This window comes from Homo sapiens, chromosome 9 (genome assembly GCF_000001405.40).
Source record: "Homo sapiens chromosome 9, GRCh38.p14 Primary Assembly".
Lineage (NCBI taxonomy): Eukaryota > Metazoa > Chordata > Mammalia > Primates > Hominidae > Homo > Homo sapiens.
Window position 1 is genome coordinate 67709829 of NC_000009.12, and position 17716 is coordinate 67727544.

General features: G+C 53.8%; 3 long non-coding RNA genes across 3 annotated transcripts; 1 reads left to right on the plus strand and 2 right to left on the minus strand.

Annotated features, from left to right (window-relative positions):
- The first annotated feature begins 1848 nt into the window (after window positions 1-1848).
- On the plus strand, window positions 1849-3905 carry LOC102723709 (uncharacterized). The gene is made up of 3 exons (NR_121606.1): window positions 1849-2013; window positions 2495-2739; window positions 3876-3905. It is a non-coding gene; the product is annotated as an uncharacterized LOC102723709 (long non-coding RNA).
- A 3764-nt stretch (window positions 3906-7669) lies between these two features.
- FAM27E3 (family with sequence similarity 27 member E3) lies at window positions 7670-9351 on the minus strand. Its single transcript, NR_103833.1, has 2 exons — window positions 9322-9351; window positions 7670-9146 (listed from the first exon to the last, which is right to left on the minus strand). It is a non-coding gene; the product is annotated as a family with sequence similarity 27 member E3 (long non-coding RNA).
- A 6303-nt stretch (window positions 9352-15654) lies between these two features.
- On the minus strand, window positions 15655-16915 carry FAM27B (family with sequence similarity 27 member B). The gene is made up of 2 exons (NR_027422.1): window positions 16623-16915; window positions 15655-16064 (listed from the first exon to the last, which is right to left on the minus strand). It is a non-coding gene; the product is annotated as a family with sequence similarity 27 member B (long non-coding RNA).
- Window positions 16916-17716: the final 801 nt, after the last annotated feature.

The following is a 17716-nucleotide window of genomic DNA, read 5'->3' on the forward strand; positions in this document are numbered from 1 at the left end:
ACCATCTCAAAAACAAAAATGAGCAAACAAAAAAACTCGCTGGGGGTTCCAATGTGCAGCGAAAGTTGAGACCCTCTAGAGCTAATAGAAGAGTATCACTGCCCGGTAAATGGGTCCTGCTCCCCATTCTGCTATTTACATATGAGGTCCCCTGTAGGAGGGCCTGGTGCTAGGTGTCCCGGCGAGATGTGGACATCTTTCTGGCTCTTCTCCTTCTCTTATCTAAGTCCTCACATGGTGGGAAAATACCTCTCTAATGCTATGTAGAAAGAGAAGCAGGGAGTGCCCCTTCTAGCGTGGATGCCTTTGGTTCCCAGATCTGGATTTGAGGGGCTGGCTCTATCTCTTAAGAAGACATTTACCTAGCATTGGTAATGGAGATGGGGCCTTAATAGGGCTAGGGAGGCACACCCAACTCCAGACCCAGCTCTCTGCTGTTCCCCTTCCCAGTGCACACAATCCCAATTCCCACTCCAGAAAATTTTTTAAAAACATATCTTAAAAAAAAAACCTCGAAAAGCCAAGCAGACCCTCAGCTTCAAGGTATCTCCTCATTCCCTCTCTCTCTCTCTCTCTCTCTGTCTCTCTGAATCTACAAAGAAGGAGTGAGTTTTGTCTCTCCAAGTACTCAGAGCCTTAGATCACAAAGGGGCCTTAGATCCTGGTCTTTGGGAGATCTTTGACCACCACCTCTGCTGTGGCACGACCATTGTCAAAATGCTAGAAAGAAGAGAGACTGGCTCTTAGACCAAGGGAATTTGGGATTTGAAAGGACTTCCAATTCCAGTTCTATAGATTTCCTTCCCATTAGCCTCTTCATGTGCATCAAATGTAAATGGCAGGCTAAACCTACAGGATGAAGAGAGTTGAAAGACTGCTGCCTAAAAATGCCCTTTTCCAAATCTGTGGGTGCAGAAGCACATTGAAAGGCAGCTACCCAGCCTGGCGGTGTGGCACATGCCTGCAGTCTCACATACTTAAGAGGCTAAGGTGGGAGGACTACTTGAGCCCAGGAGTTTGAGGCTTCAGTGAACTATGATGGTGCCACAACACTCCAGCCTGGGAAACAGAGCTGGACCCCATTTCCAAAAAAAAAAAAAAAAAAAAAAAAAAAGTAGTTACCCAGGTAAGGTGGATGATCAAGTACACCCAGTGAGAAGCACACAAACCTTACCCTTTACCCAAACTCTCTCCCTTACCTGGCCCATTTCCGGTCTCTAGAGGAGGATCAGTTAGGGGGTGTGACCCAAGTTACCCAGATAATTAACTGTGGAAGCAAGTTTTTTTTTCACTCCTTTGGCCTCTAAATATGAGAGATCTTTACATCTCTTGCCTAGCTCCCTCTTATTCTCTACCCTCTCCCCAACACGCACGCAAATCCTAACAACAAAAAATCCTAAATATAGGAAGACAAACCTTCCTGACTTACCATTTTGGCCCACCTGCAACCCCTGTCCCCCGCCCCCTCCCCAATGTTTTTCTCTCCTGAGCCTCTGCTCTTCGCTTCTAAAATAAAAAAAGAAGAAGAAGAAGGAATTTTCAATAGTCCAACTTGTCAAGCGAAGACCATCTTTTAACCTTCAACAGCAGCGAAAGCCGTGTGAACTCTTGGTGAACCAAGACTGAAGTCATAAATCACTCGTACAAAGGCGGCTGCGGAGGCTGGCGCGGGCTGCTGCACCTTTAACGCTTTCTGGCGCTGACAGGCGGCGGCCCAGCTAAAGTTCACAGCGCCCGGGGAGGGCCCGCCTCCGCCTCCCCTCCCGCCCCCGCCTCCCCTCCCCCAGGCCGGCCCCGGCCCCCGGCCCCGGACTGGCCCGCCGCGCGGCCGCTTGAGCTGCGAGCTGAGGAGGCCCGTTGGCTGTTCCCGCAAAGAGTGGGGGGCGCATTTTCTCTCCTGCCAGCCCGCTCCATCCTGGTCGTTTATTCCCGGCCTTCCCTCACCCCCCACCCCCACAGCCTGCTGTACGTAAATAGGCAAATAGATCTACAGGGACACAATAATTTAGCTTGGTTGGTCTTTGGCATTTTCTACAAGACCCCAAGAGATGGACTTTCCTCTCCCCTTCCTCCTTTTAGAAATGGCATCCTTCATCTCTGTCTAGGCAGGCCCAATTATCCAGATCCTCGGGGCTCCAATAGGGTCTGAGTCATTGGAACCAGGAACACCTGGCTGAAACATGCCACATAATTAGATTTTCTTTTTCTTTACCTTTTCTTTCTTATTTTTATAAGAGGCCCGGAATTAGCCTCTTCGACTGGGGCGGAGTAGCTGGGGTGTGAGAAAGGAACACCTTCATACAACTTCCAGCTTTCAGCCCCTTGGAGAGATTTCCAAATTCCCCGGAGCCTCTAGGACTTCCTTTCCTCGATCTCTCGGCCACCTCCTCCTCCTTCTCCGATCTTTTTTTTTTCCCTCCTCCCACTGTCTTCTCTACGGTTTAATCAAAGTTCAGCTACTCCACTTGCCTCTCCTCTCATTTCTTTCGGAAAGGGGAAACCAGACGACCCAGCGGCCACGGGACGAGTCACCCCAACTCAACCCCAGCAGGACGCTGGAGGGGCCTCCCTTGCCCACCTCTCTTCGCTAGCACTGGCCTCCCGCACCTGGGTCTGCAGTCCCTCCGCCATCTCACAAGTGTGCAGCCGCTAGGCCTGGGGGATCCGAATGACTGGGGCTGGATAGGAATGCCTTCGTGTTTCCCAAGACCCCCGGGCCTGCTCCACAAAGTTTGAAGGGTGGGTACACCCCGACCCAGGCAAGTTACTCCCCCAAACCCATGACTGACTAATCTGATATGACAAAAGCCCATGATGGATTTGGTATATGTTAATTCACAATGCCCTTTCCTCCAGAATTTAACTATAAGTTAATACACACCGGAAACCATGCGCATACACTCTCCTTAATGGGCTTAGTAATGTATTAGTGAGTCCCAACGATGCATACAAATGTGCTCTGCGCTCTGTAGACCCCTCAAGATTTATGGGCCTTGAGCTCTCTGAAGCTGTAAACAAGGAGAAAAAAAAAAGAGAAAGCGAAAGCGACTGGGGGGAAGAGACAGAGGCCTGACTCGCCCCTCCAGGTTTTGGAGAGAAGGGATTCTTTATGTATTTTCCTTTCCTTGCAAGCTCGGTGCGTGTGGGTTTTGGCGTTGGTCTGGGGGTGGTGTTCTGCCTGAATGCTGGTGTGCGTGGGCAGTGTGTTGTTTGCGTGCTGGGGTAGGATGCCTGCCTCTTCGGATTGCTGTGCAGGGGCCTGAACACAGCAGGCATTTGTGAGCATATATGCGTGAGTGTGCACTGTGTTAGGGTGTGTGTGTGTGTATGTGTGTGTGTGTGTGTGTGTGAGAGAGAGAGACAGACAGGGAGAGGCAGGCTTCCCCCTGGGCCAGGCTGCTGTCCCTTGAACGGTGGTGAACAAATCTCTAACGACAATCTTAATAACAATAAATAATGAATAATAATAATAAAACAGTAGTTAACAGTCACTGCATAACAGAATAACAATAAAATGCAAGAGGAAATATTTTGAGGTGGAGACAGAAGGAGTCAGGATCACAGCATCTGAGGGGGAGATAGGAAAGGAAGGGAGGAAGAAAGCTTCTTAATATGCTCTTGGTGGGGCTGGGGTTGGGAACCCCTTTCCCAGACAAGGGATGGAAGAGGAGAAGGAGAGCCAGGAGGCCACTCTTTATTGCTTTTTTTCTCAGGCTTCTGCTTTGTGTGATCAGGGAAGGGATCCCACATATGGGAATGGTTAATGGATTTTGGGACTCTCTAGGAGCCCCTGTTTTAAGAAGGAGGCCAAATGTGCAGGCTCAGGCCAAGCAGCAGAGATGAATGAGGTGATGACCACAGCCTTGATCCGGCAGGAGCTCAGAGATGCCCGGGAAGACGGGGGGCCCGAATGGAAGCAGAAAAACACTTATGGCCGCTGGGAAGTTGGGAGAGCCAGGCTGGGGCTCCGGCAGGCCCAGGGAAAGTTCCCTTTCTAGGCTCTTTATTAAAAAATTTAAAAGGAGGAGTTGAGGCGCCTTGAATTTTCCTTCGCGAGTTTGGAGACCAGCCGATTTTTCATGAAGCAAGCAAGGGCCGCGGTCCCGGATCCTGCAACATATACCTCATTTTCTCCAGGTACAGTTTTCTGGTCATTTAATTCGTTTGTTTTCTTGGGGGAGATGGGAATCACAGGCGTAGAGATAGTAAGTTTGCTAGAGAGGAAGCCACCCCACAGTTTCGGGTCTAACGAAATCCCTCCTTTAAAAACATTTGTACCCCCAATAAAAATAAAATTAAAGAGGAATATAGAAACACAAATTAGCCAACTTTTTTAAAAGAGAAAAAAGAAAAGAAAATCATCGTAACAGATGAGCGTGAGAACTTCTAAAAAATTTGTCACGAACCCTTTCAGAGGTCTGGATTCTTTTTCAGTAGCCGGTGACCCATTTGGTCTGAAAAGAGAAATACACTATCCACTGAGTCACTTATTTAAAGCCAGCACACACACACACACACACACACACGCATTCAGAAAGCCCTGGGTGCCCTCGCATTTGAAAACAACACCGGGTGGAGGACGCTGCGATACCTAATTGGACAAAACAGCAATAAAATAAGACCAGTGGAAGTGCTGAGCACAGGGCGCAGGGCTAGGGCCCAGGTTTTGTGTTCCAGGCTGCCGGCGAGGCAGCGGCCCCGGGAGATGGGGCGCCGGGCGGTCAGGCACCGGCTGGCGACTCTGCTCGGCCTCCGCAGCCCGGCCTGCAGCCCCTTTCCCCCAGCCTCTGGGCCTCGTGGGCTCTCTCCGCTCCGACGCCTGTTCGGGGCTTCCCTGTTGAGAGGGTTTTAGGCCGAAGGGCCGAACGACTCAAGCCAGACTCTGCTTTTTCATTTTTCTCCCTTAGGCCTCTCCACTTGCCCGAGCTCTCAGCCACCAGGAGACAGACGGAAGGGGCTTCTGGGCTGTGTTGGGAGCGGGCATTGTCCCCTACCCACTCCTGCACAGTTTCCCAAAGTCCAGCGACCTCCGACCCTCCTTGGGGAAAAAAATACCAGTACCCAGACACCTCTGCACCCTGTTATATGACTGGGCTTGCTTCAGGAATATCTTACAAAGAAGAAGAAGGAGGAGGAACGGCTTGGAGTCATGTTTACATCTAGTTCTACTGATCCGTTCACATCTGGAGAGTTTATTTATAACTCCCTCTATAACTCTCTGTTTGGAGGCACTGGTGGCTCTACTGACAGACTGATGTCTAGGAAATATTGCTCTATGTCTAATGGTACCTAAATGTGCTGTGGTTGTATTTACAGATTTACGTTTGAGGGAAATATAATTATTTCCATTGTATTTGTGCATATACAGTAGTTATAGGAGCAGATTTATATATGGGAAAATATGCGACTCCCTTACAGCCATCCGGCTTTATGTACATTTGATATCCTGACAGATTTATATCTCTGAAGAGCTATATAGATTAAAACGTATATTGTTAGAATTATGTATCAGGAGATATATACTTATTGATTGCGAAATAGAGTAGTTAGAGCATTCACTTAGAGCCATATATGGCTATGGAGATATTTCTATATTATTATCACTATATATAGGCATATCTATTTATAACTGCATAGTTATAAAAATAGACATAAGTAATTATAGTCCTATATGTGCATGCTGCAATCTCTCTCTAGAGTTATAGACACTTTCAAATATAACTCTATAGAGAGATCTGTATGTATATAAGGTGTAATTATCTAGTGATGTGTTTACGTTGGGACTTAGGCCCGTCTCTCTAGAACAGACACATTTATATGTAGGGGCTGGGAGAGACTTATTCACAGATATCTGCAGAGGGCCAACTGGAAACACTGTATCTACCCTCTAGGAAACCAGCTAGAAGAGTTGTGTACTTATGGAGGGATGGAGTTACAAAAGGGTAAATAGAGCTCAGGGAGCCTTAAGGAGGGGAGGTGAATGGAGGGTGGGTGGGCTCGGTTTGAACAGATAGTGGGAGGAAAGGGGTAAACACCAGCACCCACCAGAAGGCGAGAACCAGTTTTGTGAGGGGCTGGTGCAGATGACTGTGGACAAGGAGCTTGTAAAATGAGAAGCGGCTAACAGTCCTGCCACCTCACCCTGAGACACTCTCCACCGAGGAAGCAGACTTCAGTTTGGCTTTTAGTGCACTGTAGGATAGGGACTGTCGTGTCACTCCTGTAGTCCTAGAGCGTTTCTCTTGAACCCTAATTTTTAGGTCTCAAAGAGTGGGCTTCAGAGATAAAGAGGTTTAGGCAGGGACAGGGTGAGGAGCGTGGGGTGTGCTTTCGCTTTCCAACAAGTAAGGTAATCCAGGAAAGTGAGTTAATTTGGCCAAATAAAGCTTGTTTTTATGTGGGCCTCCTGTGCCCTGGTGGGGATGTAGGATGGGACCAGAATCTGGTGGACTGAGGAGTGAATTTCCAAGTATTGGGCCTGCTCTGATGGGGGCTTGGGGAGGTTGTCCTCACCACCCGCCCTCCTTCTCTGAGGCCTGAGTGGCCTAATTCCCTCTGGGTACAGAGGGACTCCTTCAGCTCCCTAACAGTGCTGCCCTGGGTCTTTTCAGGGAGAATTTGACTTTAGGAACAGGGAACATGGACTTACCCCACTAGATCTCACTTCTCCTACTCACAGCTACACCACTCTTACGTCAGCCTCCTTCCAGGCGCCACTCGGCGAGGGGTCCACAGTTCTTCCCCTGCTACCAACCAGCCCAGTGGGGAAATACCTCCCACGACTGCCAGTTTTTGTGTTTGTGTGTGTGTGTGTGTGTGTGTGTGTGTGTGTGTTTTAACCAGGAAGTTACAGATAACTTCATTAACTGCGTGAAGGAATTGTCCTGAACTCAGTCTCTGTGGCCAACCTAGCCTCCAGGATCTCTAGGATGCTAGGAAGGGAGTGGAGACCCTTGGACCAGGCTAACCACCATGTGCCATCCTCCACACACCCCTGCCCACAGGACTAGGAATTCCTGCAGTGCAGGGACTCTGTCTGCTGCCTGGCACAGAATGGTTGCCCAAACATACTTCTTGAGGTAAACGGAATGGCAGTCAATACAAAAACTCACCCTCACTCTGCACACCACCATAGCCACTGCTGGCTAGCAGGCACCCTAGCCAGGCTAGGAGATAACATGGTGGCTGGCAGCAGCTTGGGCTTTGACCGGACCAGTGGTTAGTAGCGTGGGAGAGCATCCTGAGTCTAGGATGGGGCAGGGACTGGAGCAAGGCACCTGGAATCCAGAAATTTGGGGGTAAGCCAAGGCAGACCCACCGCCCCAGTGCACTTCTGCTTTCTATCTCCAGTCTCATGGCTCCCTGGACCCCCAAAAGTTATGAAAACTAAACCAGAGCTGAGAACTGGGCTAGGATGGAATTGCCTGTCAACCCGAGGGATGCAAAGAGGAACCACCGTTGGGTCCATTAAGAAATCCACAAATAAAATAAAAATAAATCAGTGTGACACAGACAACCTGGCTGAAGGAAAGGTTTCTCTCTACGCCTCAGCCCTGCTCCAGGGCTACCAAACAGATCAGGCTTAATATTTAAAATGTTTAATAGTTAAAATTTTTTAACAATTTAACTTTAAAAAGGTCACACATTTTCTGATCCAGCAATGCCCCAATCAGATTGTTTCATTTTATTATTATTATCAACACTGTCCCCTTTTTGGCACCTGTAAAATAGTTCCTTTCGGGAGTTTGGAGCCAGGCCAGGCACCGTCGGTGCATGGGATGAGATGGGCAGGTTTGGAGCTCCTCTGTCTAGTGAGGATCACGGTCTGCAGAGAAGGGTTGGCCTCCCCGTCTCCTATCAAGGCTTAAAGCAAGGAGAACCATCCCAAATTTGGTTCCTTTTCCCCTAAGTATCCTTAGAGGCAATCCACCCTGTGACTAGGTGACTAGGTGAAGGACTGAGGTCCAGAAAGGAGCTATCTTAAACCTGGAATCCCATTTCCTAGTCTGCAGCCTTAAGCAGTTACCCTCTCAGACAACTAGCCCTCTCCTTCCTCCGCATGAAAACCCATGGCTTACAGGGATGGTTGTTGCTTTCCCTAAAGAAATTCAGGAAGGGAGATGTGAGGGTCAGTTCTCAGCGGTGGCGTTCTTTAAAGGGGACGCAGCCTGACTGCCAGGAGGGGAGAAAGAGTCGGCCCAGCCAATGCGCATGCGCGAAGCACAAGCGGTTTCTCCCGTCACAGTGGTTCCCACGGTTGTCTTAGAAACCAGTCCCCGAGGCTTGGCAAAGGGGGAGACTTCCGTGGCAGTGCTTGGGTGTCAAGGCTCTGAGGCTCCGGCCTGACGGCTCCACTGGGTCGAGGGGAAAGTCTCCGGATGCCAAGAGTCACAAAGGGCCGAACAGGGTGAGGAAACCCGACGCAGAGTCCGGAGAAGGCAGCATGGAATCCCTCCCTCAGGCCTCTCTGGACGGTGTTGGTGGGGGTGAGTCTCCCCAAAAGTCGTGACGCGGTGATCTCGAGGACAGGACGGCCTGCGTGCCCCTGGGGTGCTCTCTCACCGAAGGGTCGTTCTCGTCGAAAGCAGAACCCCACAGCCTCAGGGGTTGCCTGGGTGTGTGTCTTTCAATGCCTTTGCTATAAGACTCTGTGTGTGTGTCTGTGTGTGTATGTGTGTGTGTGTCTCCCATTCTCTCTTCTCTCTCTGTCTCTCAGTCTCTGTGTGTTTCTTTCCCTCTCTCTGTCGGTTTGTGTGTGTGTGCCCGTGTGCGTGTGTGTCCTTGGCCGAATGTGCCCTGTGCACCACAAAGCTGTTTCTCGCATGGCGGCCTGTCTTTGGTGAGCCTGTTTCTGCCTCTCTGCCTGGGTCATGAGACCGGTTGTCAATCCTTTTCGCCGACGCGGTTCCGCTTTGGGTGTGTGAAGGCCTGGCCCACGTGAGGAGATTCTTCGGTCCCGGAGCAATTGAAATATCCCCATCCTGAGCGGTCTCTTTTCTAGGATCAAGATGAACACACTGCAGACGAGGACACGAGCCCCACAGGAGCTCTTTGTCCCGCCGGAGACCAGCGGACCCACGTCAGAGAAGATGCTTGTATCTTTTCACGGCTCTTCTCTGAGAAATGAAGCCACACCACAATACGGTCTGGAAGAGGAAGCCGGGAATGGGAGATGGCAACAGTCCCTGTCACTGGAATGCTGGCCTCTCTGGACAAGCCACCCTTTTGGAACCCCATCCCTTATGACCCTGGCAGTGGAACGGTGATATATCCCGCCTGGCCGCCGGCGTCTGCCCTGTCCTCCCTCCTGCTCTGCCTCACCTGTTTCTCAAGTGCCTCAATGCCTCTCGCTGACGCCCAATGTCTTCAACAAAGATGACTTCCCAGTCCGTCAGGGAGACATTTCTTCGAGATCCGTGTCGTGATTGTTTCTCTCTCCAAACCTGTTTCTGCTTGATTGGGCAGGTCGCATGACCTGGGAGCTCCTGGCTTCCATTCGTGTCTCAGGCAGGGAAGCTTCCTTCTTCTCCACGTTTCCCCTCATGGTGGGTGGATTGCCTAGAATGAGCGCTAGGCGACCATGACTGGCCTTGTCTTCCAGGAAAGGTAGTGTCGCATTTCCTCTGCACTTCCTGTCTCATTCATGAGGGACATCCTCTCCTCTGCTCCTGGGTGGACTGACTCCCTTGATCTTCTGGCTGAAACGAATGTAAGGGAACCAAAGGGACTGGGCTGGGGCTGGGGCTGGGGCTGGGGCTGTGGCTGGGCGCAGCCTAAGTTGCGTCAGGGCTACCAGGGCGGTGGAGGGTTGGGGGTGGGGCGAATTTTGCAGAAACCTCTTTGCTCCTCTGGTAGGCATGTGAAAACGTGGCTTGGGTCAGGCACAGGACCCCCACCCCCCGGGTCCTAGGTGTTCTTCGATTTTCCCTGGCATTGATGGAAAGGTCAACTGTTTCCCCATTCAACCGGCACATGCCTGGACACCACCCTTTGTTTCGCCGTCGCCCCGTATGCCTCCGGTGACACACATTAACACCAACTGCTGTGGGATAGGCCAGTGCCACGCGTGGTCACATGGTCTCCACCTCGGATTCGCCCCTGTTCCTCTATGCAGGTGTCCTGTAAAGCGCGGTGGGCTTTCCGGAACCCCAGGGCTTTTAGAAGCGGGGCAGGCCACTGCTCTTTCAAAGGAGGAGGGAGGCAGAGGGCTGATGGATAAGTGAATTTGCAGCTGACACTAGGCCTTGAGACCTATGGGATCATTCTGCACTGCAGCGAGGCCCTGCCTGCCTCACCAGATGTGGTGAGCCCATCCTATTTCACTCGAAGGGGGCCAAAATTGGATCTGAACAGGAGGACGGAGAACACAGCAGGCGTCCTGAAGCTCCCCCTCCCTCAGTGGAAGTCGGCTCAAGCAGGTCCTGAGGTGAGGACTCCTCGGGGTTTGGCCCTGGGACAGGAGAAGACACCCACGGCCCCCTCTCCCACGCCGCCCCAAACTGGACCCCGGATCTAGCCGCCGCCGCGGGGCTAGCAGGAGCCTCGCTGCTGCCACGCTCAGATGTGGCAGTATTTAAAGGGGACCCAGCCTGACTGCCAGGAGCGGAGCGCGAGTCGGCTCAGCCAATGCACATGCGCGAGGCGGGAGCGGCTTCTCCAGTCACAGTGGTTCCCACGGTTGTCTTAGAAACCAGTCACCGAGGCTTGGCGAAGAAGGAGCCCTCCGTGGCAGTACTTGGGTTTCGGGGCTCTGAGGCTCCGGCCTAACCTCTTCTTGGGGTCAACGGGAATGTCCCCAGATGCCAGGAGTCGCAAAAGGCCAACTACCATGAGGAAAGCCCAGCGGAGACGGGGGAAGCAGCACGGGATCCCAGCCTCAGGCCTGACCGGACGGTGTTGGTTGGGGTGAGTCTCCCCAAAAGTCATGCCTCCGTCAGTGATCTCTAGGACAGGTCAGCCTGCATGCCCCTGGGCTGCTCTCTCACCCGAGGGTCCTTCTCGTAGAGAGCAGAACATCACAGCCTCAGGGATTGCTTGGGGGTGTGTTTTTCAATGCCCTCCTCCTTAGAAAGAGCAGTGGCCTGCCCTGCTTCTAAAAGCCCTGGGGCTCCGGAAAGCCGACAGTGCTTTACAGGACACCTGCAAAGAGGAACAGGGGCAAATCCGAGGCGGAGACCATATGACTACGCGTGGCACTGGCCTATCCCACAGCAGTTGGTGTTAATGCGTGTCACTGGAGGCATACGGGGAGACGGCGAAACAAAGGGTGGTGTCCAGGAACATGCCGGTGGAAGGGGGAAACGGGTGACCTTTCCATCAATACCAAGGAAAATCGAAAAACACGTGGGACACGCGGGGTGTGGGGAGGGGGGGCCTGTGCCGGACCCAAGCTACGTTTTCAAATGCCTACCAGAGGAGCATAGAGGTTTCTGCAAAATTCGCCCCACCCCAAACCGTCCAAGGCCCTGGCAGCCCTGACACAACTTTGGCTGCACCGAGCCCCAGGACCAGCCCCCAACCCTAGACCAGTCCCTTGGGTTCCCTGACATTCTTTTCTGCCAGATGATCAAGGGCTTCAGTTCACCCAGGAGCAGAGGAGAGGATGTCCCTCAAGAATGAGACAGGAAGTGCAGAGGAAATGCGACACCACCTGTCCTGGAAGTCAAGGCCAGTCACGTTCGCCTAGCGCTCATTCTAGGCAATCCAACCACCCATGAGGGGAAACGTGGAGAAGAAGGAAGCTTCCCTGCCTGAGACACCTAAGGAAGCCAAGAGTTCCCGGGTCATGAGACCAGCCCAATCAAGCAGAAACAGGTTTGGAGAGAGAAACAATCACGACACGGATCTCGAAGAAATGTCTCCCTGACGGACTGGGAAGCCATCTTTGTTGAAGGCATTTGGCCAGAGCTAGAGGCATCCAGGCCCCTGAGAAACAGGGGAGGCAGAGCAAGACGGAGGACAGAGCAGAGGCCGGAGCCCAGGCAGGATACAGCACCGTGCCACCGCCAAGGGCATAAGGGGTGGGGTTCCAAAAGGGTGGCTTGTCCAGGGAGGCCAGCGTTCTAGGGACAGGGATTGTTGCCATCTCTCATTCCCGGTTTCCTCTTGCTGACTGTATCGTGGTGTGGCTTCATTTCTCAGAGAAGAGCCGTGAAAAGACTCAAGCATCTTCTCTGACGTGGGTCCGCTGCTCTCCTGTAGGACAAAGAGCTCCTGTGGGATTCTTCTCCTCGTCTGCAGTGTGTTCGTTTTGATGCTAGAAAAGAGGCCGCTCAGGATGGGGATGAGACTTCAATTGCTCCGACGCATCTCCTCACGTGGGCCAGGCCTTCACAGAGCCAAAGCGGATCCACAGCAGCAAAAACGATTGACAACCGGCCTCATGACCCAGGCAGAGAGCAGAAAGAGGCTCAACAAAGACAGGCCGCCATGCGAAAAACCGCTTTGTGGCACACAGGGCACCTCCAGCCAAAAACACACACGCACACGGGCATGCACACACAAACCCACAGAGAGAGGGAAAGAAGCACACAGAGACTGAGAGAGGGAGAGAGAAGAGAGAATGGGAGACACACACATACACACACACACAGAGTCATACAGCAGAGGAATTGAAACACACACCACCAGGCAATCCCTGAGGCTGCGGAGTACTCCTCACGACAAGAACGACCCTCGGGTGAGAGAGCAGCCCAGGGTCACGCAGGCCGACCTGTCCTCGAGATCTCGGATGGCGGCACGACTTTTGGGGAGACCCACCCAACCAACACCATCCGGGCAGGCCTGAGGCTGGGATCCTGTGCTGCTTCCGCCGTACCCCCCTGGGGCTTCCTCATCCTGGTCGGCCCTTTGTGACTCCTGGAATCCGGAGACGTTCACGTCGACCCCGTGGAGAGGTCAGGCCGGAGCCTCACAGCCCCGACACCCAAGCACTGCCACGGAGGGCTCCTGCTTTGCCAAGCCTCGGGGACTGGTTTCTAAGACAACCGAAGGAACCACTGTGAAGGGAGAAGCCACTAGAGCCTCGCGCATGCGCATTGGCTGGGACGACTCGCGCTCAGCTCCTGGCAGTCAGGCTACGTCCCCTTTAAATATCGCCACTGTCGCCTGGCGGCCGCGATGCTCCTGCTGCCGCCATGGCGGCAGCTGGATCCTGGGTCCTGTTTGGGGTGGCGTGGGAGAGGGGGCCGCAGGAGTCTCGTCCTTTCCCAGGCCCAAACCCCCAGGGGTCCTGTCCTCAGGACCTGCTTGAGCCCACTTCCACCGATGGAGGGATGGAGGGGGAGCTTCAGGACTCCTGCTGTGTTCTCCGGACTCCCGTTGAGATCCGATTTTGGCCCCCTCCGAGTGAGATAGGATGGGCTCACAAAAACTGGTGAGGCCGGCAGGGCCTCGCTGCAGCACAGAATGATCTCATAATTCTCAAGGCCTAGAGTCAGCTGAAAATTCACTGATCCATCAGCCCTCTGCCTCCCTCCTCCTTTGAAAGAGCAGTGGCCTGCCCCACTTCTAAAGGCCCTGGGGTTCCAGAAAGCCGACCACGCTTTACACCACACCTGCAAAGAGGAAAACAGGCGAATCCGAGGGGGAGACCATGTGACCACGCGTGGCACTGGCCAATCCCACAGCAGTTGGTGTGAATGCGTCTCACCGGAGGCATACGGGGCGACGGCGAAACAAAGGGTGGGGTCCAGGCATGTGCCAGTGGAAGGGGGAAACGGGTGACCTTTCCATCAATGCCAAGGAAAATCAAAGAACACCTGGGACCCGGGGGTGGGGGGCCGCCTGTGCCTGACCCAAGCCACGTTTTCAAATGTCTACCGGAGGAGCAAAGAGGTTTCTGCAAAATTCGCAACACCCCCAATCCTCCACCGACCTGGTAGCCCTGACGCAACTTCGGCTGGCACAAACGCACAGAGAGTGGGAAAGAAACACACAGAGACTGAGAGACAGAGAGAGAAGAGAGAATGGGAGACACACACACACACACACACACACACACACACACACGCAGAGTCATACAGCAGAGGCATTGAAACACACACCCCCAGGCAACCCCTGAGGCTGCGGGGTTCTGCTCTGGAGGAGAACGACCCTCGGGTGAGAGAGCAGCCCAGGGGCACGCAGGCCGACCCGTCCTCGAGATCACGGACGGCGGCACGACTTTTAGGGAGACTCACCCCAACCAACACCGTCCGTGCAGGCCTGAGGCTGGGATCCCGTGCTGCTTCCCCCGTCTCTGCCTGGGGTTTCATCATCATGGTCGGCCCTTTGCGACTCCTGGCATCCGGAGACGTTCCCTTCGACCCCGTGGAGAGGTGAGGCCGGAGCCTCAGAGCCTCGACACCCAAGCACTGCCACCGAGGGCTCCTGCTCTGCCAAGCCTCGGGGTCTGGTTTCTAAGACAACCGTGGGAACCACTGTGACGGGAGAAACCGCTCGCGCCTCGCGCATGCGCATTGGCTGAGCCGACTCGCGCTCCGCTCCTGACAGATAGGCTGCGTCCCCTTTAAATATCGCTGCCGCCGCGGCGGCGGCTGGATCCTGGGTCCTGTTTGGGGCGGCGTGGGAGAGGGGGCCGCGGGTGTCTCGTCCTGTCCCAGGCCCAAACCCCCAGGGGTCCTGTCCTCAGGATCTGCTTGAGCCGACTTCCACCGAGGGAGGGGGAGCTTCAGGACGCCTGCTGTGTTCTCCGGACTCCCGTTGAGATCCGATTCTGGCCCCCTCCCACTGAGATAGGATGGGCTCACCACATCTGGAGAGGCCGGCAGGGCCTCGCTGCAGCACACAATGATCCCATAGGTCTCAAGGCCTAGCGTCAGCTGCAAATTCACTGATCCATCAGCCCTCTGCCTCCCACCTCCTTTGAAATATCAGTGGCTTGCCCCGCTTCTAAAAGCCCAGGGGCTCCGGAAAGCCGACCGCGCTTTACAGGACACGTGCCACCAGGAACAGGGGCGAATCCGAGGTGGAGACCGTGTGACCACGCGTGGCACTGGCCTACCCCACAGCAGATGGTGTGGATGTGTGTCGCCGGAGGCATACGGGGCGACGGCGAAACAAAGGGTGGTGTCCAGGCATGTGCTGGTGGAAGGGGGAAACGAGTGACCTTTCCATCAATGCCAAGGAAAGTCGAAGAACACCTGGGGCTCGGGGGGTGCGGGTCGAGATGGGGGGCTGTGCCTGACCCAAGCCACGTTTTCACATGCCTACCAGAGGAGCAAAGAGGTTTTGGCAAAAATCGCCCCACCCCCAAGCCTCCATCGCCCTGGTAGCCCTGACGCAACTTCGGCTGCACCCAGCCCCAGCCCCATCCCCAGCCCCAGCCCCAGCCCAGTCCCTTTGGTTTCCTGACATTTGTTTCGTCCAGAAGATCAAGGGAGTCAGGCCACCCAGGAGCAGAGGAGAGGATGTCCCTCAAGAATGAGACAGGAAGTGCAAAGGAAATGGGACACCACCTGTCCTGGAAGTCAAGGCCAGTCACGGTCGCCTAGCGCTCATTCTAGGCAATCCACCCACCCATGAGGGGAAACGTGGGGAAGAAGGAAGCTTCCCTGCCTGAGACACGTATGGAAGCCAAGAGCTCTCGGCTCATGATACCTGCCCAATTAAGCAGAAACACGTTTGGAGAGAGAAACGATCATGACACGGATCTCCAGGAAGTGTCTCCCTGACGGACTGGGAAGTCATCTTTTTTGAAGGCATTTGGCCAGAGCGAGAGGCATCCAGGCCCCTGAGAAACAGGGGAGGCAGAGCCAGAGGGAGGAGAGAGTAGAGGCCAGAGCCCAGGCAGGATACAGCACCGTGCCACCGCCACAGACATAAGGGGTGGGGTTCCTAAAGGGTGGCTTGTCCAGGGAGGCCAGCGTTCCAGTGACAGGGACTGTTGCCATCTCCCATTCCCGGCTTCCTCTTGCTGACTGTATCGTGGTGTGGCTTCATTTCTCAGAGAAGAGCCGTGAAAAGATACAAGCATCTTCTCTGGCGTGGATCCGCTGCTCTCCTGTGGGACAAAGAGTTCCTCTGGGGCTCTTGTTCTCGGCTGCAGTGTACTCATCTTGATCCTAGAAAAGAGGCCACTCAGGATGGGGATGAGATTTCAGTTGCTCCGGGAGCGACGCATCTCCTCACGTGGGCCAGGCTTTCAGGCACCCAAAGCGGATCCGCCGCGGCGAAAACGATTGACAGCCGGCCTCATGACCCAGGTAGAGACGCAGAAAGAGGCTCACCAAAGACAGGCCGCCATGCGACAAACCGCTTTGTGGCGCACAGGGCACATTCGGCCAAAGACACACACGCACACGGGCATACACACACAAACCCACAGAGAGAGGGAAAGAAACACACAGAGACTGAGAGACAGAGAGAGAAGAGAGACTGGGAGACACACACACAGACACACACACACACACTCACACACACACACACACACACACACACAGAGACACACACACAGCGTCATACAGCAGAGGCATTGAAACACACACCACCAGGCAACCCCTGAGGCTGCGGGGTTCTGCTCACGACGAGAACGACTCTCGGGTGAGAGAGCAGCCCAGGGGCACGCAGGCCGACCTGTCCTCGAGATCACGGATGGCGGCACGACTTTTGGGGAGACTCACCCCAACCAACACCGTCCGGGCAGGCCTGAGGCTGGGATCCCGTGCTGCTTCCCCCGTCCCCGCCTGGGGTTTCCTCATCGTGGTCGGCCCTTTGCGACTCCTGGCATCCGGAGACGTTCCCGTCGACCCCGTGGAGAGGTGAGGCCGGATCCTCAGAGCCCCGACACCCAAGCACTGCCACAGAGGGCTCCTGCTTTGCCAAGCCTCGGGGACTGGTTTCTAAGACAACCATGGGAACCACTGTGACGGGAGAAACCGCTCGCGCCTCGCGCATGCGCATTGGCTGAGCCGACTCGCGCTCCGCTCCTGGCAGTATGGCTGCGTCCCCTTTAAATACCGCCACCGCCGCGCGGCGGCAGCGAGGTTCCTCCTGCCGCCACGGCGGCGGCTGGATCCGGGGTCCAGTTTGGGGCGGCGTGGGAGAGGGGGCCGCGGGTGTCTTGTCCTGTCCCAGGGCCAAACCCCTAGGAGTCCTGTCCTCAGGACCTCCTTGAGCCGACTTCCACGGAGGGAGGTGGAGCTTCAAGATGCCTGCTGTGTTCTCCAGACTCCCGTTCAGATCCGATTTTGGACCCCTCCGAGTGAGATAGGATAGGCTCACCACATCTGGTGAGGCAGGCAGGGCCTTGCTGCAACACAGAATGATCCCGTAGGTCTCAAGGCCTACTTGTACTGTTGTACATAATGTATATAATTGACTTTTATTCACTCGACAAAATTTCCTAAAAATACATCCAAATGATTGCATTAATTAATATTTTGTTCCTTTGATGACTGAGTAGTATTTCATGGTTTCTGGTATAAATTCACCACAAATTAAACATTCACCTGGGCTTATTGACCTTTTCAACTGTAACAAATTAAGCTGTTGTAGACATTCGTGAACAAGTTTTTGTGGGACCACAGTTTCATCACTCCAAATTAAACACCCACAACTGCAATTGCTGGGATCTATGGTCTATGCATATCTGGTTTTTATTTTACTTTAAAAAATTTTTAATTATTTTCTTAAAATTTTATGGGTACACTGAGTGCCCACAGAAGCTAGTAAGGATACTGGGGCATTGGAGAGGAGGTAGAGAAGGTTAATCAGC